General features: G+C 42.8%; 1 long non-coding RNA gene across 1 annotated transcript in view, besides 1 other annotated feature; it reads right to left on the bottom strand.

The window, feature by feature from the left end:
• The window catches only part of FAM157A (family with sequence similarity 157 member A), a 69,308-nt gene that overhangs the window by 39,405 nt on the left and 3,954 nt on the right, over positions 1 to 25,949 (bottom strand). The window contains exons 3-6 of the long non-coding RNA NR_146164.1: positions 25,440 to 25,817; positions 15,238 to 15,433; positions 2,245 to 2,354; positions 1,051 to 1,182 (exon numbers count right to left, since the gene is read on the bottom strand). This is a non-coding gene — a long non-coding RNA (family with sequence similarity 157 member A). The remainder of the gene's footprint in view (positions 1 to 1,050; positions 1,183 to 2,244; positions 2,355 to 15,237; positions 15,434 to 25,439; positions 25,818 to 25,949) is intronic.
• Positions 23,821 to 24,753: an enhancer, noted in NCBI's record as "NANOG-H3K27ac hESC enhancer chr3:197885227-197886159 (GRCh37/hg19 assembly coordinates)". NCBI's record gives its function as "activates a minimal SCP1, AML or CMV promoter by ChIP-STARR-seq in naive H9 embryonic stem cells {active_cell/tissue: H9 hESC(naive)}" and the evidence as "EXISTENCE:reporter gene assay evidence [ECO:0000049][PMID:30033119]".

Genomic DNA, 25,949 nt, shown 5'->3' with positions numbered 1-25,949 from the left:
CCACAGTCCTCAGCTAGGAAGTGAGCGCTGCATCTCCTGCAGCGTCCTCCATCCCTAGAGCCATGGGGCCAGGAGAACCGGCCCTTGCAGCAAGTGAAAAGCCTATTATTGATTCCCTCCCTAGCCATGTAGACAGTGAACCACGACACTCATATCAGGTAAATGCCTTGTTCTCTGTTACCAAGGTAACCAGTAGGCATTCCCAGATACAGCGAAGGTCCTCACACCAAGACATGCACCTGGCCACCTGAGGAAAGAGAAAGGACTATCTGAGGGGATGGGGCTGAGCTGGGTGTGGAGTGGTCCTTGTGGGTCTTGGAGAGTGGGAGGGGGAGCAGCATGAGCCAGGCCTCGAGGCAGAAGGACAACCAGGAGACAGCCTGGAAAAAGTGCTGGACCCACAAGGGCTCAAGGCTGGCCAGAGGGGAGGTGGGATAGGCTGTAAAGTCCTGAGGTCTGAAGATTGGCCCTGGCAGGAAGAAACCAGGTAAGGTGGGGTGTTACCTACACCCTCAGGGCCAGATGCAGGCCAGAGCCAGCCAATTACCAGGCCCTTAGGGAGGTGTGAGCCCCTTGAAATGATGCAAGGTTTTTTGTTTTTGTTTTGGAGACGGAGTTTCGCTCTTGTCACACAGGCTGGCACCTTTGCCCAGAGCAGGCACCAAGACTTCTGGCTCTGGGTGTGACCTCAGTCTGGGTAAAAGCCCCAGCCCCCACCAGCACCACCTACCCCCTAGACTACTTCAGGTGCTGAGCCCAAGCCAGGGGCAGGAAGCTAAACTGATGCCTAGGGTAATCCCAACAAAGTCCCTGGTTCCCCGCAGCTATGGGGCTGACGGGGAATTACAGCCCAAACCCCAGATGCTGGCTCTCAAACTAACACTGAGCCCTCAGTGCCCACAGGGAGATACAATCAGCGCACTTTCCAGATGGGGAAATGGGATCAGAGAAGTGCAACAGCCTTGCCCAATGCCCCAGACCAGGGCTCCAGGCCCAGAGTGTTCTTTTGTCACTGTGTTCAGAGGGCAGCAGCTGCTGTGATGTACCCACCTGAGCCTGGCAGCTTTCTCCAACTTTGGAAGCCCAGGAGCATGGCCCCTGTCCACAGATGCACCTGGCATGAGGCGTGCCCAGAGGGACAGAGGCAGATGAGTTTCGTCTCCTCCACTGGATTGTGAGGGCCTAGAAGCAGACAAGGGTCAGCTTGAGAAGGCAGTGAACAGCGAGCAGCCTGAGGCAGTGCCCCTCTGGATGGATGCGCAGTGCCTGGATGGAACCTGGCTCAGACAGAGCTCAGTTCTGCAGGTCCCTGAGGCATGGAGAGTTCACAGCTACCAAGTGTAGGAGTCTGGATTCAAAGCCAATGGCGTCACTCCAAAGTCCCTGCCCTAGCCCCTGGACCACCCTTGCAGGCCCATCAGATGCCCAGGCCAGCAGCACAGCCGGCCAAGACCAGGGAAACTTGGGGAGCCTCAGAGCACCCCCAGGTATTCCAACCTAACCCTGGTGCCCCGCCTCTCACCACCCTTCTTCCTGCTTTAACCTCAACCCTACACAAAGCCTGGGCCACTTAATGTGGCATCAAACAGACGCCTCAATAAATCAGTCTAATCTCGAAAAAAAAAAGACTTAACAGATATACAATTGCACGTTAGAATGCTAAAGACCATAAACATAGAACAACTTAAAGTACATATAAATTCAACATATATCCAATCATTGTAACTATGACACAGTAGAATATTAAAATACTATTTTCAAAATGTATACAAGCTTAATGTTCTATGTATTCAAACTATTTATTCAAAATACAAATCATCAACATAAATTGCCACTAATATTCAGTCCCTTCACAGGACATGATTCACTGGGAGTTAATCAATTAGCAGCCGGCAGGCAGTGACACACCACAAAAATGAAAACCAAGAGGTGAAATAGTTCTGAAATAAAGGTTTTAAAGCTAACAGAAATCACTGAATTACTAAGTCATTAGCACTAATTTTGAGCCAACTAACTAATTAATATGAGATGATACAATGTCCTATACTTTGGTAAATACAGACTATGTTTAAACAATGTCTGTAACGTGACTTGTAAAATGCTCCTGGCTTTACAAAGATGTGATTAAGATGTAGTAACACATGCTAAACCATTTCCCCCTGCAGAGCATGTGGTAACTTTCATCAGTCACACTGAGAGTCCAGAAGATAAAGGAAAAGGTCATGGATTTCGCTGAGAACTTACCAGAGTTGAACTCCCTCATTTTCCGTTCCCCAGCATTGGCGGGTTCTGGGACTGGTGGCTGTGGTGGCTCGTTGGTCTTTGTCTCTTAGAAGGTGGGGAATAATCATCATCTTGAAAAAGAAAAAATGGTCATTACTGAAGGAACCATCTTAGGTTACAGCCACCTCTGGGTCAATTCCCAACATTCAAAAGCTGAGCAGGGCTTTAAAGCTATCTTATTAATAATTATTTCTGTATTGCGAACTTCAGCATACTTTTTTCTAGTTACATTTGAAATGTTATTCTTTTGGGATGTGCTCAAGTGAGTACTGCTTTTTCCTCTGCCTTGCTTCATTACTTTTTAGTTTCCTTCATTTGAATCATCATTGTAAGTCTCCCCTTCTCCTCAAATAACTTTCAAATTGCTGCCAAGAACTATGTTCTATCTTAAGGCTTTTGAGAAAAAACTTTCAATGAAGATAGCCACCTAAAGTTATACAAATATAGAAGAAACGGGATAAAATAAAGCTTAGATTGGAAAAAATATTTAAGATTCTACAAAATTCACGCGTAAACAAGGGAAGCTGAGTAATTGTATGTTCAAATACTTTTAACAAGTGCAAAACATGTAGGCTTAAAGAAATAGAGCTGGCCAGGCATGGTGGTTCACGCCTGTAATTCCAACAGTTTGGGAGGCCGAGGCAGGCAGATAACTTGAGGTCAGGAATTCGAGACCAGCCTGGCCAACAGAGTGAAACCCTCTCTCTACTAAAAATACAAAAATTAGGCCAGGAGTGATGGCTCATGCCTGTGATCCCAGCACTTTGAGAGGCCGAGGCGGGTAGATCACCTGAGGTCAGGAGTTTGAGACCAGCCTAACCAACATAGGGAAACCCCGTCTCTACTAAAACTACAACATTAGCCGGGTGTGGTGGCACATGCCTGTAATCCCAGCTACTCGGGAGGCTGAGGCAGGAGAATCCCTTGAACCCAAAAGGCAAAGATTGTGGTGAGCCGAGATTGTGCCATTGCACTCCAGCCTGGGCAAAAACAGCGAAACTCCGTCTCAAAAAAAAAAAAAAGAAAAAATTAGCCAGGCATGGTGAAGTTGCGGTGAGCTGAGACTGCACCATTGCACTCCAGCCTGGGTAGTAGAGCAAGACCCTGTCTCAAAAAAAAAAAAAAAAAAAAAAAAAAAAAAAGAGAGAGAGAGAAAGAAAGAAAGAGGGCTACATTATTTATGAAACAGATACTGTTAACTCAGTCACCAGAAAGCCTGTGTATAAATGAGCAGTGAGATATTCAAGCACAGCACACACACACTTCTCAGGACAGCTGTCGTGAGTGTTCCATGCTCGTTTCCTTCTGGATACATCAGCAACTCACTCTGCTATGATCCTGCAATACATCTCATGTTAGAATTAGAGACATCTGGGCCAGGCACAGTGGCTGACGCCTGTAATCCTAACACTTTGGGAAGCCGAGGCAGGCAGATCACCTAAGGTCAGGAGTTCGAGACCAGCCTGGCCAACATGGTGAAATGCTGTCTCTACCAAAAATACAAAAAATTAGCTGGGCATGGTGGCGCGCGCCTGTAATCCCAGCTACTCGGGAGCCTGAGGCAGGAGAATCGCTTGAACCCAGGAGGTGGAGGTTGCAGTGAGCCGAGATCGTGCCACTGCACTCCAGCATGGGGGACGGAGCAAGGCTCTGTCAAAAAAAAAAAAACAGAAAAAGAAAAAGAAAAAAGAATTAGAGACATCTGGATCAAATCAGCTGCCAGTCTCGCAAAGTGTCGGGTAACATCCTATTAAGCTTGCTGCTTACACATCATCTATAAAATACTGAAAATATCATTTTAAGAAATCTTTTTTTTATTTTGAGACAGAGTTTTGCTCGTTGCCCAGGCTGGAGTGCAATGGTGCGATCTCAGCTCACTGCAATCTCTGCCCCCTGGGTTCAAGCAATTCTCCTTCCTCAGCCTCCTGAGTAGCTGGGATTACAGGCATGCACCACCACGCCTGGCTAATTTTGTATTTTCAGTTGAGACAGGGTTTCTCCATATTGGTCAGGCTGGTCTCGAACTCCTGACCTCAGGTGATCCACTGACCTTGGCCTCCCAAAGTGCTGGGATTACAGGTGTGAGCCACCATGCCTAGCCAAGAAACCCTTATTTTAAAACAAGCCAGGCGCGGTGGCTCATGCCTATAATCCCAGCACTTTGGGAAGCCAAGGCAGGTGGATCACTTGACGTCAGTAGTTTGAGACCAGCCCGGGCAACATGTTGTAACCCCATCTCTACTAAAAATATATTTTAAAAATTAGCTGGGCATGGTGGTGGGCACCTGTAATCCCAGCTTCTCAGGAGGCTGAGGCAGGAGAACCACTTGAACCTGGGAGGTGGAGGTTGCAGTGAGCGGAGATCATGCCACTGCACTCTAGCCTGGGTGACAATAGAAAGACTCCATCTCAAAAACAAAACAAAACAAAACAAAACAAAAAACCACTAAAAAAAAGACTCCATTTCAAAAACAAAACTAAAACCAAAAACACAACACAAATGTAGTACACAAATGAAAATAATTACTGTGTTAAACACAGTTTCATAGAAAATAAAAGACCAATCAAATACAATAAGCTGCCTTTTTAGATGGGTATGTTATTCTTCTTTCACAGCTAAAGAAACAGGCTCAGAGAATGTTATTTGATTGGACCGTGTTGCATTTCTGGACAGTGCAGCTGAGATCAGACTTTGTGTGTAACTCCACTAGCCTACCAGGGTGCCTCTCATAAAGGTAAGAAATGTAAATTTGGCCTAATATACAAAGTTGCCAGGGCAGCACTGGGTCAATTCTACATACAGTACTTCTATGTTCATCAAGGGAAACCTTAAGGGAAAGTGAAAATGCTTCTAGAAGGCGACTGGACACCAGCGCCTTTGCTTGTTGCCTTTGGGCTCTTCTTCTAAGGCCAACAGTGACCTGAAATTATTGACTGGCTTTTCCAATCAAGTGGACAAAATGGTACCAAGGTCGCCAACATCGATGTAGAACATCGATGTTCTACAACATTGCTTAACGCAAGGGGAGACGCTCCTGACTCAGAGTGTTTAATTGCTCACCTACTTCTTTTTCTGCCCTCTTGGGCTTCTGAAATGAAAAGAACCCTGGGGTGATACAGTGAGTCAAAGGGGTGCCAGCCGCATCACAGCAAAATAGATTCCTAAAAAATCCCTGGCCTAAGATGACAGCCTTGGCTGGATCAGTTTGAATGTGCTGATAGTGGACATGGTAGAATGAAGGTGGTTGAAATGTTCATATTAAAGAACTTCCACCCAGATTGCAAGAAAAGAGAGAAGAATGGAGACGGCAGCACAAGCCCCTACAATAAAAGCAGATGTTTTGAGATCAGTTATATTTCTTCTGACAAAAATTAAAGACAGAAACCAAAGTTTAGCCTGAGACTACAATTAATTGGGCAATAAGCCAGAGGCACATATGGCATAAGACAGATTTAAACATTTCTCCCTGATATTAATACAAACACTAAAATTACAAATACATGGATTCCAAATAAAACAAATATTTAAAAAATTTAATGAATAAACACTGGGGTCTACAGTAGTATTTGAAGGAGATCTCACAAACAGGTTTGGTTTTTGAAGGTTAGAACTGGTGGTCTAGAGAATTCATTTCATTCCAGAGAAAGAAAGAGAGGAATTTCTTGGGTTCCTTCAGGAATGCGTCTAGCTTTGCCTCATCTTTGTTTGAACTATGGATACGGCAGAAGAAAACATAAGGATTTCACAGATTTAAGTTGCAAAAAGTCACTGGGTTCTCTAAGAAGTCTGGGATTCTTCTGCTGGAAAAATAAGTTTGTTGAGAAAAAATGAGTTGGAGGAGGCTGTTATTGAAGTGAAGCAGAATTGTTTTTACTAATCTGCTTATTACCCACTCTGTAGTGTGGAAACAAATTATTCATGCACAAGGTCCTCTTACTGTTCCTAGAATGCAGTGGAAAGAGAACAGATTAGTTTTCCTCCCTCAGAACACAACCCCTAGAAACATCCTACCTCAGATGAGATATTGCCTAATTATTTTCAAAAGACAGTGAAACATCATGGATGTAAATGTTTGCTACAAAATAAATACATGCTAGAAACAGAAGCATCTGGGTCACAGCTATATTAGAGCTACCTGTGTTCCCCTGTCACTGACATTAAAACAAAAATGTCCAATACAATCATTCACAGCGTGGGAGAGGGGAAGTTGAAGGATGGAAAGGCCAGGCATAAAAGGATTTCAGAATTTCCGTCCATAAGGAAGTGGCTTTGTGCACTGTCTGTTACTGCGTGCAAGGTGAAATTTGAAGAATGAAAACGTGCAGTAACAAGGGCTCCTTTGTCCAACTCACCTCTCCAGATACCAAGTTTCAGACATGTTGCATTTGAATTGAAAGGTTGATATAATTTTTTTAAAAGAACACTTGCGGTGTTTGAAGTGACAAAGGCTGCTGTGACAAAAAAGCAGGGAAAGGGAATTTTTTTTTTAAAAGCAAACAACAACAACAAAAACCCCACAGAAAAGCAAACAACAAACAAACAAAAAACAGAGGAAGAAGTTGAACACCCCGGGCTGTGACTACTTCCAGGAAGGGGCTACAAGAGGCAGTTGGAAATTCTATTTGTTTTGCAACTGTGGGTTTTCCGGCCTGCTTCCTTTCTAAAGTATATTACTCTGCTTTTGGTTCATGAAGTTATCCATTTCTGTTTTCTGGAACAGCTATGTATTTTCTTTATCTATCATCTATCTATCCATTTACCATCTATCTTTTCTACCTTTCGCTATCAAGAGCTTGTGTCAAGCAGGATAGAATTCCAGTGTATGTTCACTCTACCGTTTAAAACAAGAGCTCTTGTGGGCATTCTCCATCACATCATAAACCTGAGCTTTCTAAAACAGAGTGTGGCAAACTACCATGCATGGACCATGTCTGACACAGTCTGCGTTTGTAAGTAAAGTTGTAATGGGACACAGCCAATACATGTGTTACATAATGTCTCTGGCTACTTTCATGGTATAATGGAAGAGCTGAGTCATTGAGAGAGAGACCATATGGCTTGGAAAACTTAAAATATTTAACATTTAGCCCCTTGCAGAAAATACTTGCTGACTCTTGTTTTAAAAGATCTCTGTTTAGAATGCTACCTATTGCGTTCTGGATAGAATCACAACTCTTTACCACAATTGACACAGCTTCAGCCCTGCTTCTATATCCAGCCTCATCTATTTCTGCTCCTCCTCCTTATTTTCCTTCTGGCCATGCTGATGGATTGTCAGCTTCCCAGATGTGCAAGAATCTCTCCTCCCTTCCCAACATTCTCATGCTCTCCCTCTGCCTCTCAAGAACTTCCTGCCCCATCTCTCATGACAAATCCTTTCTACATTCTTTAAGATGCAGCCCCTTTGCTCCTTCCTTAAGGATGTCTGTCTGGCTCTATTTTGGGTGACGTGCTCCTTCTGCATCTCCCAGAGCCAGCCTGTGTGTGTCAGCTACAACATTTCTTTGCATCTCTGTGTCATATATCACCAAATCTGCCTAAGCTTGCATGAGTCACTGCATGACAACTTCAGACTCCACCAGCATTGTCCCCACTAACCACAAGGCTTAGACATTCGTCCAGTATGCTCGGGGTTGTGGGGTGGTAGCAGTAACCAGCTGGTGACCATCATTTCTTACATCAGAATCAAATCTGTAGATCTCTGCCATTCGTAAGTATTTGGAGTTTAAAATTAGCATAAAGATTTTCCTTAAAATAAGAACAAATGGCTTGAGTAGGCTTTTGGAACATAGGATGTTTCCACTGGTTCATTTCTGTGTTCAATATTCCCACATGAATCTAAACACGACTCTGCTCTTAGTAGCTATGTGACCCTGGGAAAGTCACTCAATCTCCCGCAGCTAAATTTTGTTGTGTGAGTAATGAGGAGTTGTGATTTGTATTTAGAGAATAATAACAAACAAAAGGCATTTAGCTTTCTGGAACCTGGTATGTAGTAGAACCTCATGAAATACTAGCTCTGTTGATAAAACTAGACTGAAAGAAGCTTTCAAAGTCAACAACAGTTTGAGGCAGTGAAGGACGTAGAGGAGAAGCTGCTGCTGCAGCCTGTAGCTCCTGGAAGCCCGTTTAGTCCATGATTTAGCAGGAATGCATTACCCTTCCATGAGGAGGCACTGCCCACAGAAACCAACGCCATTCTTTGAAGACAAACATGTCTTAATAGCCTTTACATTATGTAATAGTGTAATACAAATAATAATTTATTATTAGTAATAATGTGAAATTATTTACAGTACCCTAACCCTAAACCTAACCCTAATCCTAACCCTAACCCTAACCCTAACACCCTAACCCTAAAACCCTAACCCTAACCCTAACCCTAATCCTAACCCTAATCCTTACCCTTACCCTTACCCTGACCCTAACCCTAATCCTTACCCTTATCCTACCCCTAACCCTTAACCCCTAACCCCTAACCCTAACCCTTAACCCAAACCATAACCCTAAAACGCTAACCCTAACCCTCACCCTCACCCCTCACCCCTCACCCAAACCATAATCCCTAACCCCTAACTCTTAACCCCTAACCCTAACCCTTGACCCTAACCCTTGACCCAAACCCCTGACCCTGACCCTTAACCCTTAACCCTAACCCTAACCCTTAACCCTAACCCTAACCCTAACCCCTAAACCTAACCCTTAACCTTCATCCTCACCCTCACCCACACCCCTAACCCTAACCCTAACCCTAACCCTAACCCTAACCCCTGACCCTGACCCTTAACCCTTAACCCTAACCCTAACCCTTAACCCTAACCCTAACCCTAACCCCTAAACCTAACCCTTAACCTTCATCCTCACCCTCACCCACACCCCTAACCCTAACCCTAACCCTAACCCTAACCCTAACCCTAACCCTAACCCTAACCCTAACCTTCATCCTCACCCTCACCCACATCCCTAACCCTAACCCTAACCCTAACCCTAACCCCTAACCCTAACCCTCACCCTCACCCCTCACCCCTCACCCAAACCATAATCCCTAAGCCTTAACTCTTAACCCCTAACCCTAACACTTGACCCTAACCCTTGACCCAAACCCCTGACCCTGACCCTGACCCTTAACCCTTAACCCTAACCCCTAACCCTAACCCTAACCCTAACCCTTAACCCTAACCCTAACCCTAACCCCTAACCCTTAACCTTCATCCTCACCCTCACCCACACCCCTAACCCTAACCCCTAACCCCTAACCCAAACCCGAACCCTAAACCCTAACACTAAACCCAACCAGAAACCTAACCTGAACCCTAACCCGAACCATAAACCTGAACCCTAAACCCGAACCCTAACCCTAACCCTAACCCTAACCCTAACCCTAACCCGAACCCTAACCCTAACCCAACCCTAACCCTAACCCTAACCCTAAACCCTAACACTAAACCCAACCAGAACCCTAACCTGAACCCTAACCCGAACCATAAACCTGAACCCTAAACCCGAACCCTAACCCTAACCCTAACCCTAATCCTTACCCTAACCCTAACCCTAACCCTAACCCTACCCTTATCCTACCCCTAACCCTTAACCCCTAACCCCTAACCCTAACCCTTAACCCTAACCATAACCCTAAAACGCTAACCCTAACCCTCACCCTCACCCCTCACCCCTCACCCAAACCATAATCCCTAACCCCTAACTCTTAACCCCTAACCCTAACCCTTGACCCAAACCCCTGACCCTGACCCTTAACCCTTAATCCTTAACCCTAACCCCTAACCCTAACCCTAACCCTAACCCCTAACCCTAACCCTTAACCTTCATCCTCACCCTCACCCACACCCCTAACCCTAACCCCTAACCCAAACCCGAACCCTAAACCCTAACACTAAACCCAACCAGAACCCTAACCTGAACCCTAACCCGAACCATAAACCTGAACCCTAAACCCGAACCCTAACCATAACCCAAACCCGAACCCGAACCCTAACCCCTAACCCCTAACCCTAACCCTACCCTAACCCAACCCTAACCCAACCCTAACTCTAGCCCTAGCCCTAGCCCTAGCCCTAAGCCCTAAGCCTAACCCCAACCCCAACCCCAACCCTAACCCTAACCCTTCCTCAGCCTCTCAACCTGCTTGGGTTACAGGTATGAGCCCGGGTGCCTGGCCAAACATTCCATTTTATATGTATATGCTAGGAATGAATAATCTCTAAACCAAATTATGAAAATTCTACCTTAAATAATACCAATAGCAATATTATACTTAGGAATAAATGGAATGAAACGACAAGACTTAGATGAGGGAAATTATAAGACATTACTTAAGGAAATTAAACTTCCAATAAATGTAAAAATGTATCTTATTTGTGGATTTGTAGACCACATTGTTAAGTTTCCCAAAGTACACAAAGCAATCCGTGGATTCGATGTTATTCCTACAAAAATCCCAAAGGCCTTGGGACAGAAGTGGATAAGCTGATCCTGATCACATCCCAATTTCAAATTTTATTACAAAGGAACAGTAATAAAAACAGTGGGATCCTTGCACAGGAATAAACAGAAAGATCAACTGAATTGAATTGGGAGTCCAGACAGAAAACAATACCTCTATGCTCAACTGATTTTAGACAAGGTCCATTACCAGTAAATTGGGGAAAGAATCCTGTCCTCAACAAGTGATGTAAGGCAACTTGCTATCCACATAAAGGGAAATGAAATTGTATCCTTACCTCATACCACATAAAAAATTAACTTACAATGGATCAAAGACCAAAACAGGTGAAAACTAAAAACTCTGGAAGAAAACGTACAGTTAAGCATTCATGACCTTACACATAGCAATAGTTTCCTACATCTGACACCAAAAGCACAGACCACAAAAGGAAAAATAAATCAATTTATTTCCTCAAAATTCACAACTTTTATGTCTCAGAAGACATGAAGAAAAAAGTTGAAAGACAAAATGTTATAATAGGAAAAACAACTGTCTTATAGTATACTCTCAACACTCAACACAGAACACTTCTGTTACCAGATACATGGGTTTTTTCCCCACACAGACCAAATCTTGGGTACCAGCTGGGTGTCCTACAGTGCAATCCAATTGTGACAGTAAATGGAGAAAGCATCAGACCCCACAGGCTAAGGGCTCAGTCCTAGGAATACACGTCATGCCCCTTGTTGCTTGCAAATTTAAATGACAAACACAAGGATGGTAAAAAGAAAGTGACTTTATGCCAGAGCTTAGCTGAAGGGAACATACAGGCTCTTGCCTTAAGGGAAGCGCTTCCACTTTCTGGGCAGAAAGCGGGGCTTCGGACTTGCCAGAATGGCATGCAGGGGATGAGGTGAGGAGGTGCGGGGTCTATGGGACATGCTCTGATGTTTTCTCCATTAGGTGGTCTTGCTAGCACCACCACGGGCAGAGCCAGGTTGTAAATTGACTGTTGTCTGCTGCCAATCTCCTGGTGGGGGAGAGATAGGGAAGTGCCAGTTTGTTTCAAGGTTTGGTCCCTGGAACTTACAAGTAATCACACAGTTGGAAAAGTTTGCAGTATAGGAAGTGTCTGGTGGAGAGACAGTAAAGCTTATAATTGCATTCCTAAAGAGCTAAATGCAGGAACAGCAAAATGGTAAAACTAATTCATTTCTTCTTTAAGAAAATATGGGTACTCAGTTACAAGACTGTAACCACTTAAGATGCCAACCACAAACAGTAGGTTCCCAGGTTACCTTCTGTCTGACTTTGCTACAGATTGGAGGCTCCCACAATACCCTTATTGGGTTCAGCAATTTGCTACATAACATTACACAACCCATGAAAGCAGTGTACTTACTATTCCTGACTCATTACCAAGGATCTTTTAAATGCTACAAATGAAAAGCCAGATGAAGAGATGCACAAGGTGAGGTATATGGAAGGAATGCAGGCCTCCCATGCCCTCGCCAGATATGATCCTCCCAGTATCTCCTGTGTTGGGAGAGCAACACAGATGCTCTCCCAACCCTGTCCTTTATTACACAGGCAGATTGGTTACGTCTGTGGCCATAGGTGATCAACTCAACCATCAGCACCTCTCCCCTTCACAGAGACGGGACGGGGGAAGAAATTTCAAATCCTCTCATGACAAGGTTGCTTCCCTTGGCAGCCAGACCCACTGAGGCTGTCCAGGTGCCCCCAGCCATCAATCATTTCATTAGCATACGAAAGACACATTACTTCGTACATTCCCAAGGCTTAGCGCTCTGTTTCAGGACACTGCAGCAGAGACCACACATTAACTCTTATTACGTTCCAACAACCTATAAAATGGAAGAAAATGTCTGCACATTAGATACTTCATCAGTGTCTGTTATCCAGAATGTATAAAGAACTTTTACAACTCCATAGCAAAGACAACCCAATCTAAAAATTGACAAAAGACTTTAATACACACTTCACCAACAAGCACATGAAAAGATGCTTAGCATCATTACCATAATTAAAACCATAAAGAGATAACCCTTAACTCACACAAGAATAGTTATACTAAAAACTAACAAGTGTTGACAAAGATGTGCAGAAACTTGAACTCTTAAACACTGCTTGTGACAATATGAAATGGTGCAGCCTACGTGTGAAATAATTTGATGTTTCCTCATAAAGTTACAAATATATTTACCATATGAGTCAATAATTCCATTCCTAGGTATATACCCCAAAGACCTGAAAACAACTGTTCAAACAAAAACCTGTATGCTCTTTAAATGTGTCAAGGTCATAAATACGCAGGAAAGTCTGGGGAACAGTTCCAGGAAAAGAAAACTGGATCCTAATGAAAAAAAAAAAAATACACATTATACTCCCAAGTGTGGCATGAGGTAAAAGTGAAGTGAGTTTGTGGACCGAATTATCATGGAGGAACAATGCTGATTTCCTGATCTAGGGGTTATGTGGTAGTTACCTGGGAGAGTGTCCATGCTTTCAGTACAACATACCGGAGTATTTTGTGGGACACTGCAAATCTGGTACAGCAATAACTGTTGGGGAACCTAAGGGAAGAAACAAGTTGTACTTTGTACTACTACTGGAAGTTGCCTAGAAATATGACATTATTGGAAAATAAGTTACTTTTTAAAACAACCATGTCAATACCATGCCAGGAAAGCAGACACATCATTAAAATCCATTACAGAGGCTATAGTTCAGCCAAAGCTGTAAAACCCTTAAAAAAGTCTCAATGTCAACAGAGTCCACTTAGTAGATATGATTATATTTATTGGTATTAGAGGCCACTGTGTCAATATATTACTGTTAGGGCATGCTATGGATATTTAGATTAGTGTTAGGGAATGGTGTGGATATTGTATCGGTGTTGGGGAATGGTGCAGATATTACATTAGTGTTAGGGCATGGTGTGGATATTATTACATTAGTATTAGAAGCGATGGTGTGGATTAGATCAGTGATAGGGCATGGTGTGGATATTATTACATTAGTATTGGAAGCGATGGTGTGGACTAGATCAGTGATAGGGCATGGTGTGGATATTATTACATTAGTATTGGAAGCGATGGTGTGGACTAGATCTGTGATCGGGCATGGTGTGGATATTACTACATTAGTATTGGAAGCGATGGTGTGGACTAGATCAGTGATAGGGCATGGTGTGGATATTACTACATTAGTATTGGAAGCCATGGTGTGGATTAGATCACTGATAGGGCATGGTGTGGATATTATCACATTAGTATTGGAAGTGATGGTGTGGACTAGATCAGTGATAGGGCATGGTGTGGATATTACTACATTAGTATTGGAAGCGATGGTGTGGACTAGATCAGTGTTAGGGCATGGTGTGGATATTATTACATTAGTATTGGAAGCGATGGTGTGGACTAGATCAGTGATAGGGCATGGTGTGGATATTACTACATTACTATTGGAAGCGATGGTGTGGACTAGATCAGTGATAGGGCATGGTGTGGATATTATTACATTAGTATTGGAAGCGATGGTGTGGAGTACATCAGTGTTAGGGCATGGTGTGGATATTATTACATTAGTATTGGAAGCGATGGTGTGGATTAGATCAGTGATAGGGCATGGTGTGGATATTATTACATTAGTATTGGAAGCGATGGTGTGGACTAGATCAGTGATAGGGCATGCTGTGGATATTATTACATTAGTATTGGAAGCGATGGTGTGGATTAGATCAGTGATAGGGCATGCTGTGGATATTATTACATTAGTATTGGAAGCGATGGTGTGGACTAGATCAGTGATAGGGCATGCTGTGGATATTATTACATTAGTATTGGAAGCGATGGTGTGGACTAGATCAGTGATAGGGCATGCTGTGGATATTATTACATTAGTATTGGAAGTGATGGTGTGGACTAGATCAGTGATAGGGCATGGTGTGGATATTATTACATTAGTATTGGAAGCGATGGTGTGGACTAGATCATTGATAGGGCATGGTGCGAATATTATATGGGTGTTAGGGCACAGTGTGGATATTATTACATTAATATTGGAAGCGATGGTGTGGATTACATCAGTGTTAGGGCATGGTGTGGATATTATTACATTAGTATTGGAAGCGATGGTGTGGATTACATCAGTGTTAGGGCATGGTGTGGATATTATTACATTAGTTTTGGAAGCGATGGTGTGGATTACATCAGTGTTAGGGCATGGTGTGAATATTATATAGGTGTTAGGACACGGTGTGGATATCATAGTAATGTAGGGCACAGTGTGATTATTATATTAGAGGCCACTGTAAGAATATATATTAACAGCCACTGTGTCTTGGACGTTGACAATGATATTAGGGTGTACTCCAAACAGTGAGATTTGGGGGTTTTATTTTTCTAGATGAATTTCTTCCTCTGCTGAGTACTCTAAAGACTCACTCCTTGGCACTCAGGGCCGTGGACAGGAGCTTTTTACTCACCAATGAAGAACACCAAGTTAACACGACCCTCGTGCTGCCCTGAGGAAGCTGAAGCTCCTCGCTGCTTCTGGCACCTCAGCGGGAAGTTGGTTGGGGCGGGATCGCGCGCCCTCTGGTGGCGCCATGGTTCAGCACAGACGCTCTTGCTCACAGTTTCTCGGCGGATGTGCGCCCCCTCCTGGCTGTCCTGAAATACCTATAAAATTCAATATTCAGTTTATTCAGTGTCATAATTTTGGAAATTCAAACCGAAATAAAGGCCAGTATATCCATACCCTTCCCATAAATGGTGATGGAAGAATTATTTGGAAGCCATATAGAATGAAATGACTCTATACACAAATTAAAACACAAAAACCTACTCAAAATACTCCAGAGACTACAACTTCAATTGCAAAACTATAAATAACCTAAAAGAAAACCTAAGAGACATTGGATCTGGTGTTGAGTTTTTACACACAGCATCAAGTGCCAATTCGTGAAAATACTGAGAACAGACTTTATAAAACTAAATTTTCTACTATGAAAAACCCTATTCAGAGAACAAAAAGACAAGACACACTGTCAGAAGATATTTACAAAATACAAACGTGATTTTAAAAACTGTATTGAAAATACACAAAGAACTCTTCAAACGAACACTAAGAAAACTAAAAACCCAAATAAAACTGGGTAAATATCTGAACAGACATCCAGCCAAATAAAATATATAGATAGCAGGCCAGGTGTGGTGGCTCATGCCTATAACCCCAGCACTTTGGGAGGCTGAGGCGGGTGAGTCACCTGAGGTCAGGAATTTGAGATCAGCCTGGCCAACATAGTGATACCCCCTCTCTACTAAAAATACAAAAAAATTAGCCAGGCATGGTGGTGGGTGCCTGTAATCCCAGCTACTTGGGAGGCTGATGCAAGAGAATTGCTTGAACATTGGAGGTAGAGGTTGCAGTGACCCAAGATCACGCCACTGCACTCCAGCCTGAGTGACAGAACGAGACTCTATCTCAATAAAAAAAAAAGAAAAAAGAAAAAAAAGAAAATATACAGATAGCACATAATCACACAAAAGGATGCTCAATATATCTCATTAGGAGACTGCAAATTAAAATAATGCTGAGATATCACTGCACACCTAGTACAACTGTGGGACTCTTAAAAAAGCTCAACAGTAAAAATTGGAGGTTGAAGAACAATAGGTACGGCCATTCATTACTGGCAGAATGCATGAATGGGTACAGCCACTTTGGGAAATAGTTTGACAGTTTTTCCCAAAGATAAACAAGTCTTACCTTACAATCCAACAAATGCACCCCTAAATTGTGTATGTTTAGACAGCTGCTTTGAAAAATTATGTTCAAACAAAAACTAGCATGTAATTATATACGAGCCACTCTACTCATAATGGCCAAAACTTGAAGTAATCAGAACGTTCTTCAATAGCTGAATGCATAATCAATTTGAAGTACAACCATGCAATGGAATACCATTCACCAACAGAAAGGAATGAACTGTCAATCCATGAAAACAAATGAATGAATCTTGCATCTATGTTGCTAAGTAAAGGGTGGCAGTATGAAGATGCTATACATTATATGACTCCATTCATATAACATTCTGGAAAAAGCACAACCAAAGAGATGATAGTCAGATCAGTGACTGTCTGGGGTGGGGATTTGAAGTATTCTGTATGCTACTTCAGTAGTGGATATCTGACACTATGCATTTGATAAAACCCACAGAATTTTAATGCACAAAGAACAAATCACAACCTACACAAATTAAATTATTTAGGATGTGGAAGTATCTAAGGACAAAATACAGAGTGCAACCAAGAATCTAACTGTATTACCAATGTATGTTGCAAGTGGTGGGCCAAAGGTGCTGAGCTGGAAATGAGTAGAATCCATAGACTAAAAACAAAACGTACTATATACACGAACAGTGGACTCTATTTTATAAAGTTATTTCCCATAGGGATAATAGTTAATTTTGAAACTACTATATCTGTAAAAAGAAAAATAACCATGATTTTCCTCTATACTATCAACACTCCACTTTTAACAGCAAATTGTGGGGGGTGGGGGGTGTTTCCCATACCAACCAATATTCCAACTCTCTGGAAAACAATTGGGTATCCTGTAATTCAACTGTGACACTGATTACCTGGAGTTAGTATACACCCTACAGGTTAAGGGCTTAGTAACACCAGACTGTCCACAACCTCAGATGCCAATCACAAGTAGTGAATCCCCAGTTTACCCAAACTTCTATATGACTTGGCTAGAAACTAGGCATTCCTACACCCCCTCTTCAGGTTTGACAATTTGCTATGATGGCTTATGGAACTAGGAAATACTTACTTATGTTTACTAGTTATTATGGTCTCAATGTGTGTACACCCCCACCCCAAATTCCTATTTTGAAATGTAATCCCCAAAGGGATGGTATTCAGAGGTAACCGAGAGGTGATCGGATCATGAGAGTGCTGTCCTCATGAATGAAACCAGTGCCCTTATAAAAGCATCTAGGAGCCCGTTTCCCCATTCTGCCATGTCACGACATGCTAGAAGGCACTATCTATGATAGATGAGCCCTCACTAGACATCAAATCTGTCAGCCTTGATCTGGAACTTTCCAAATTCCATATTTTAGGAATTTTTATGGAAGCTTCATCATGTAGACATGACGGATTATTAACTCAATTTCCAGTCCCTTCACACCCTCAAAGGATTGCATGTTAAGCTAAAAGTTACAACCTTCTTATCATGGCTTGGTCTTTCTGGTGACCATCCCCATCCTGAAACCACCCAGGAACCCACAGAGTGTCCTTATTAGAACAGAAGCCATTCCTATTATCCAGGAGATTCCAAGAGATTTAGGAACTCTGCGTCAGGAACCAGGGCCAAAGACCAAATATTAGAACACAAGATGCTCCTAGCACCCCTACTGTTCAGGAAATTATAATAGTTTTAGAAGCTCTGTACCAGGAACTGCAGACACAGACCAAACATATATTTCTTATTAAGTCCCAACCTGGAATCTTGATCAAGAATGAATTCCTTGTTCCCAGTGGTACAAGGGATGAAATGAATGGCAGATAGTAGGAGCCAGGTTCCTCACTATTACAGTGAGAAGTCACAGATAAAAAACAGGGAAGCCTAGAGTGGTCTCTGTCATCATGAGTCAGAATGTATACGGCAGATGGTAGGAGCCAGGTTCCTCACTATTACAGCGAGAAGTTACAGATAAAAAACAGGGAAGCCTAGAGTGGTCTCTGTCATCAGGAGTCAGAATGTATACGGCAGATGGTAGGAGCCAGGTTCCTCACTATTACAGCGAGAAGTTACAGATAAAAAACAGGGAAGCCTAGAGTGGTCTCTGTCATCAGGAGTCAGAATGTATACGGCAGATGGTAGGAGCCAGGTTCCTCACTATTACAGCGAGAAGTTACAGATAAAAAACAGGGAAGCCTAGAGTGGTCTCTGTCATCAGGAGTCAGAATGTATACGGCAGATGGTAGGAGCCAGGTTCCTCACTATTACAGTGAGAAGTTACAGATAAAAAATAGGGAAGCCTAGAGTGGTCTCTGTCATCATGAGTCAGAATATATATATACAACGTAAGTATAAACTCACATTTAGCTTAACATATACATAGATGGTTCCACATAGAAACCTTTATAATTAAGTGGGTACATATAAGTTAGAAGACACACATATATTTCTTTGCACTGTCAGCTGTAAGTGTCATGATGCAATGACCACATTTAGTGGCCAGATGTAAGTTTTTCATACCATTCTCTAACAAAAGAAATCAGGGCTATTAGAAGAAATAGCTGAAACTAGGACTGGGACAGAAAATATATGAGCCAGGGTACTTTTGAAGTAACAGAAATAAATTATAAAAAAAAAACATGAAATTATGTAAAAGAAGCCAGTGGAAAGAGCTACCAATGGCCACAGGTATGAACAAAGAGCAACAAAATACTGTACAATTAGATAACAACCAAAAGATTAAAGTAACTATCTGTGGACCCATACTGGTATAAATAAATGATTAAACAGATATGCAAATGGGCTGAATAGAAATCTCTTATACAGAAGAATTCCAAATACCTGATACAGACAGCCATCAAGGAGGTGGGGCTAACTCCCCACTCCTTTAAGTATGAGCTCTGCATGATGACTTCCTCCAAAAGCATACATACAATATAGACATGGGAAAAAAGTAACTTCACAGTGAAAAACCTGAAAACACTGCCTCAACCAAGTGATAAAAGTTAACATTAATGGTGATAACACATCTTGAGAGCGTGAAGTGACTAGACTAGCACTTGCAAACCAAAAATAAAATTCAAAGATCTTTCCCCCAACCACCTCTCCACCAGGGGACACCAAAGTTAACCTGGAAGACTGGTTCAGGCTATGATGGGAAAGAGGTGGTCAGACACGCCTCATTATGCCCTCCTCCCTTTTGGAATTCAGGAAAAGCCAATCAGCATTTAACATCAACACAACCTTAAATCTGATAAGAAACATTTACAATCTATTCTCTCTGAAGCCTGCTACCTGGAAGCTTCATTTCCATGATAAAACCTTGGTCTCCATAACCCCTTAACATAACCCAGACACTCCTTTCTATTGATAGTAAGTCTTTCAACAAACTGCCAATCAGAAAAATTTTAAATGTACCTATAACCTGGAAGCCCCCCCCCCACCCTAATCCATTGGGTTGTCCCACCTTCCTGGACCGAACCAATATATATCTTAAATACACTTGATTGATGTCTCCTATCTCCCTAAAATGTATAGAACCAACCTGCACCCCAACGACCTTGGGCACATGTTCTCAGGGTCTCCTGAGGGCTGTGTCAAGGGCCATGGTCACTCATATTTGGCTCAGAATACATCTCTTAAAATATTTTACAGTCTTTGACTCTTTTTGTGGACACACTACACATCTGCTCTGCTTCCCCCAAACCCCTAAACCCAGGCTGATTATGAGAAAAACCCCAAGTAAACCACAATGGAGGACATTCTACACAATACCTGACCGATCCTCCTAACACTGTTCCAGGTCCTCAGAAGTAAAGTCTGAGAGATTGTCACAGCCAAGAAGAGCCTGACATGATGACTAAATGTCCTATGGGATCCTAGATAGGATCCTGGGAGAGAAAAAGGCAGAACTAAGGGAAACCAAATAAGATGTGAGCTTATTTAATAATATAGTAATATCCAGTCATTAAGTATGACAAGAAATGATGTAAGATGTTGGTCAGGAGTGGTGGCTCATGCCTGTAATCCCAGCACTTTGGGAGGCTGAGGCAGGCGGATCACCTGAGATCAGGAGTTCAAGACCAGCCTGGCCAACGTGGTGAAACCTCATCTCTACTAAAAATACAAAAATTAGCCGGGCATGATGGCAGGCGCCTGTAATACCAGCTACTCAGGAGGCTGAGGCAGGAGAATCGCTTGAACCTGGGAGGCGGAGGTTGCAGTGAGCCGAGATCACGCCACTGCACTCCAGCCTGGTTGAGACTCTGTCTGAAAAAAAAAAAAAAAAAAAAAAAAGATGTTAAACCTATCTGATACATGTTGGTATGTTAAAAAGCGGGGAAACTAGGTTGCGTCTACATGGGAAATCTGCATTTTCTTCCCAATTTCTGTATGAATCTAAAACTAATTTAAAATAAAACCTCTATTTAAAAATTGTAATTTTTTCAGATATCTGCTAAATTATTTGTACTAAAAATTAGTAATTGACAGTAACTACTACTACTTTTAAAAATAAGAGCATTCATGATACTGCAAAGTAAATTATACAGACTAATATATACTTTCAAAGAAATGCCCCTTTTACATGTTTTATGTTAAGATAACATATATGTGTAAACATGGTCATATCATTTTCCTTATGGTGTAGTTCACTCTCTAAGAAAGCTGGTCATCTTAGAACCAGGGAAAAAAATTCACATTTTGGAGACTATTTCAATTTACGGCTGGACGTTTTCAAAGTATGACTTTGCGAAAAAAAAAAAAGTTCAAATTGATTCATTGTGACTGGATCACTTATTCTAATGAATGCTTGCCTTTATTTTGTTTCCCAGCATTCCTTTCAGCTACGATACAACAGAAGCAAATATTTGCCACTGGAAAAAATATTCAAAGACACTCTTAGGTTAATCTATAGCTGATGACAGTCAGTCTAGTCTACATAGCAAGCAGCTTCAAGATATGATTACTTAGCTAAGCGGGAAATGGGACGTGACTGCTGCCTCATTCCCACGCCTCTCTGGACCTGATAATTTAGAGGAAGCTCACATTCGCAAGATAAAAATTTTCTTTTCCTTCTCAGTATTAAATATGCTGTCACAATAGAAGAAAGCTTTACTGACTTCTTAAATGACGTGTTGAGACCGGAACCCTAAAATGATAGTTACTGAGGATAGTGCTAATGCCCTAAGACCGGAAACCTAAAATGATAGTTACTGAGAATAGTGCTAATGCCCTAAGACCGGAAACCTAAAATGATAGTTACTGAGAATAGTGCTAATGCCCTAAGACCGGAACCCTAAAATGATAGTTACTGAGAATACTGCTAATGCCCTAAGGTTTTAGTCACACCCTCACCTAGGCAGGAACCCAACCAAAAGGGGAGAACTGTGGAACAAACTACGGGAGGTCATTGTTTCGGTCACCACTCCCGCATTAGGCCACACTGAGCAGGCAAAACCAGAATGGAGACACTCACGCTGAATGACACACAACGAAGCTGAAACTTTAAGGAAGTAGATAGATCCCAAAAGAGCTCCCTTTTTCCCTGAAGAGATTCCAGTCTACCTGAGTCAGCATAAAGAAGTCCCCTCTGCTTTAATTCTTACCAAAACAAGTAACTTGAAGTAATCTGTTATTAACAAATCAGTTGTTATTTTCTATTGCTCTATTTCCGCCTTACACAACACAGTGTTCTGCTATTGCCCAGAGGGCACTGAGACCAAATAAAACTTGAAAATGCCACACTGAAAGCAAATAAGTCCTAATAACTCAATTTACAACGATAACAAAGAGTGACACCAATGCCCAAAGTTTTGATCAATATCTCAAAATTGAGAGGCTGACCAAAAGGGAGGAATTCTTACATCAAACAACATTTGGGCTCTAGAAGCCTCCCAAGGAGTCCTTGTAAAGAGTCGCGGCCGGGCGCCGTGGCTCACGCCTGTAATCCCGGCACTTTGGGAGGCCGAGACGGGTGGATCATGAGGTCAGGAAATCGAGACCATCATGGCTTACAAGGTGAAACCCAGTCTCTACTAAAAAAAAATACAAAAAAATTAGCCGGACTTGGTGGCGGCAGCCTGCAGTCCCAGCTACTCGGGAGGCCGGGACAGGAGAATGACATGAACCCGGGAGGCGGAGCTTGCTGTGAGCTGAGATCGCGCCACTGCACTCCAGCCTGGGCGACAGAGCGAGACTCCGCCTCAAAAAAGAAAAAAGAAGAAGAACAAGAAGAATCGCAACCTAATTTAGTATAGAAACAAACTGTAAATCTGACTTGGGAATGTATCATGGTAACAAATAGCGGCGGTTCAGCCAATCACATCAGCCGAGTGTCAGTCAATGGCCGGCAGCCAGCTGTTCAAAACAAGTTCCAAGAAGGCAAATCCGGGCTGTAACCAGGTCTGTAACCAATCCAGCCACCTCTATACCTCACTTCTGTCTTCTGTATGTCACTTTTTTTCTCTGGCTATAAATATAACCCGCACATGTTGTGTGGCAGATCATTCTGAACCATTTTTGGTCTGGACTGCTGCCTGATTCTAGAACCACAAAAAAAGCCAATTAAGATCTGCAAACCCACATTTGTTGTAATTTTGTATTTTAACAGTTGTGCCCTACAAAAGACATTAAGCTGAAATTAATTAAAAATCATTTACGGTCATGATTAGGTCATAAAAAATTGTCAAACATAACAATTCTTCAAAAAAAGCTAAAAAGTATATTTTAAAAACATTGTTGATGGAAAAAAGAGTGCAAAAGTAGATAGGAAAATTATGTACAAAACTAAAAACAGAGGAGAAATTAAAAGTCAAATAATTGCATCAAACTGGAAACCTAGAAAAAATGGGTGATTTCCTAGTAAAAATACACATTAACAAAATGGGCACTGAAATAAGGCAACTATGAATATACCAATTAGCATAGAAAAGCTAAGAAAGGTCCTTAAAGATCTCCCAGTGGAAAAAGGCCCCAGGACCATCTGGGTCCATAGCTTAGTGTAAGCTGACTTAACTAAATGTGATTTTACACTCGTGCATTGCATACATACGATGGTGGTCCCATGAGATAAAAATGGAGCTGAAAAATTCCTTCCTAGCCATCTTGTCATAAGCTCATGGCTCAACGCATTACCTTTTCTCTGTTCTGATACCATGAAAGGAAAATAAATCTCAGGACCCCCAAATCACTAAGCCAAGGGAAAAGTCAAGCTGGGAGCTATGTCAGGCAAACCTGCCCTCATTCTATTCCTAAGATAGCTACAAAGATAAAAAGCTACATACCTCACTCACAATTTGCCCACAAAGAATTTCCTTTTGGACAAAGGACAGACAGCACTCAAAGTCATCCCTCACCTGAGACAGATGCATATCTGATTGCTTCCTCTGCCCTATTATTTATGTAAAAATGCAGATTCATTGAGCCAGACTAAATTGTGTATTCAGTGGAAGGCTGATGAAGGATTCAAAAGAATGCAACCTTTTGTCTCTAACCTACTTCTGACCTGGAAGCACCCCCACTTCCTGCTTCCAGTTGTCCCGCCTTACTGGGCCAAATGACTGTACATCTTACACGTCTCATGTATCCCTAAAATGTACAAAAGCAAGCTCTACCCTGGCCACCTTGGACACACGTCGTCAGGACCTCCTGAGGCTGTGTCATGGGCGTGTCCTTAATCTTGGCAAAATAAGCTTTCTAAATTGACTGAGACCTGTCTCAGATATTCTGGGATCACAATCTACAATCACCATGGTGTTATGGTTGACTACAGCATTCAGTACAGAGACATGCTGTACAGGTTCGTAGCCTGGGAGCAATAGGCTATACTATGTAACTTAGGTGTGGAGTGGGCTACACCATCTAAGTTTTATAAGGACACTCTACAGTGTTCACACAAAGATGAAATCACCTAAGGACAGATTTCTCAGAAAGTATAACATCGTTACGAGATGCCTGAGTGTATTTTAAATGGTCAAAGCCTAGGAGAAAAAAAGAAACTTAACTCTTGTTATGGGTTAATAACAAAGCTTAAGAGAGTTAACATATTTCATCTAATCTAAGATGCCAATGATTAAAAGACATTACTTTATGCACCATCACAAATAGGTTGCCAATTAAACCGACTTTCTGAATAACACACAAATGTGAATTTACTTCTATTAATGCCAGGAAAGTAAAATGAAAAATAAATTATGGTTTTGACATGTTAAAGCAAATACGGCGGGGGTTAGCCTGAGGCCTTCCCTAAGCAAACAGAAACCGAACTTGGAGGCATTTGAACTGACTTAAAAAAATTAACAAACCAACCACAGTCAATGCCAAAAAGCCCAGCAGCCAGTTGGCTGTATGACTAGGGCCGCTGAGGGAACCATCCCCACAACAGGCGGTGGCCTAGCTGGAGCCACTGAGGAGCCTCACTTAGGGGCCACCCTAAGAGCTCGAAGCCCCAAGCCGATTTCCGTTCTGGTGCTTCCCGCGTGATTCATGAACCATTCCTTTGCTGAAATAAACTCCGCTTAAATTTATTTTACCTCAAATCCTTTTAACAAAGTCCAGTATTTACACTTAAAATACGGTTGTGAAAACTCACATCTACATCTGCTCTTCAATATTTTTCAAGTACTTTAACACTCTAAGAAAAACGAGCCACTGGAACGCAAATAAAAGCAAGTCGTGGGGTGCGCGTCTCCCTGGGGCTCTCCATGTTGCCCTCAGGGTTTCTCCCTTCTCTGTCCCGGATCCACCCCAAACAAACCCAAATTGGTCAAAAATTAAAAAATGAAACAACTCAGGTATGCTGTAATAATGAATAACAAAGCCACTTAATGATGGGCCACTTTGTAAAATAAAATAAATACAACTTGAGAAAGTGGAGCGCGAGGCAGCGCGGCCTCCTCAGCACTGAGCCGGGACAGAAAGCTTTTTCCTCACCTTTCCTCGGGCAGCCTCGGGGACCATGAAGCCACAGCTTCCCCAGTCGTTCCTGAGGAGCTGAGGAGAAGGAGGCTGGGTCGTCCCTGGCCACGGTCCCCAGGTGTTCCTAGAGAGCCAGCGGCGTCTCCCGAGTGGGTCCTGAGGAGGAGGAGGCTGGGCCCTCTCAGGTGTCCCTGTAGGGATGACGGCGCCTCCTGCGTAGGTCCTGAGGAGACGGCTCGGCTCCGCCCCCTGGAGCCGCAGGCCGTCTGTGCCGGAACCCGGGCGCCGCTTGAGGTTCTGTGAGGCGGCATCGCGCCCCCTGACGGCCGTCGCAGGCGGTGCAGGATGCTCAGGTGCTCGCGGTCGAGCTGTGGCCTCGCCCCTCCGGTGGATCTCCGAAGTTCACTGTTCGGACAATTACACGCCATGACTTTTGAAAAACCTGCTGAGGCCGGGCGCGGTGGCTCACGCCTGTAATCCCAGCACTTTGGGAGGCCGAGGCGGGCGGATCGCGAGGTCAGGAGA

This window comes from Homo sapiens, chromosome 3 (assembly GCF_000001405.40).
Source record: "Homo sapiens chromosome 3, GRCh38.p14 Primary Assembly".
Lineage (NCBI taxonomy): Eukaryota > Metazoa > Chordata > Mammalia > Primates > Hominidae > Homo > Homo sapiens.
This window is presented reverse-complemented; position numbering and strand designations above follow the sequence as displayed.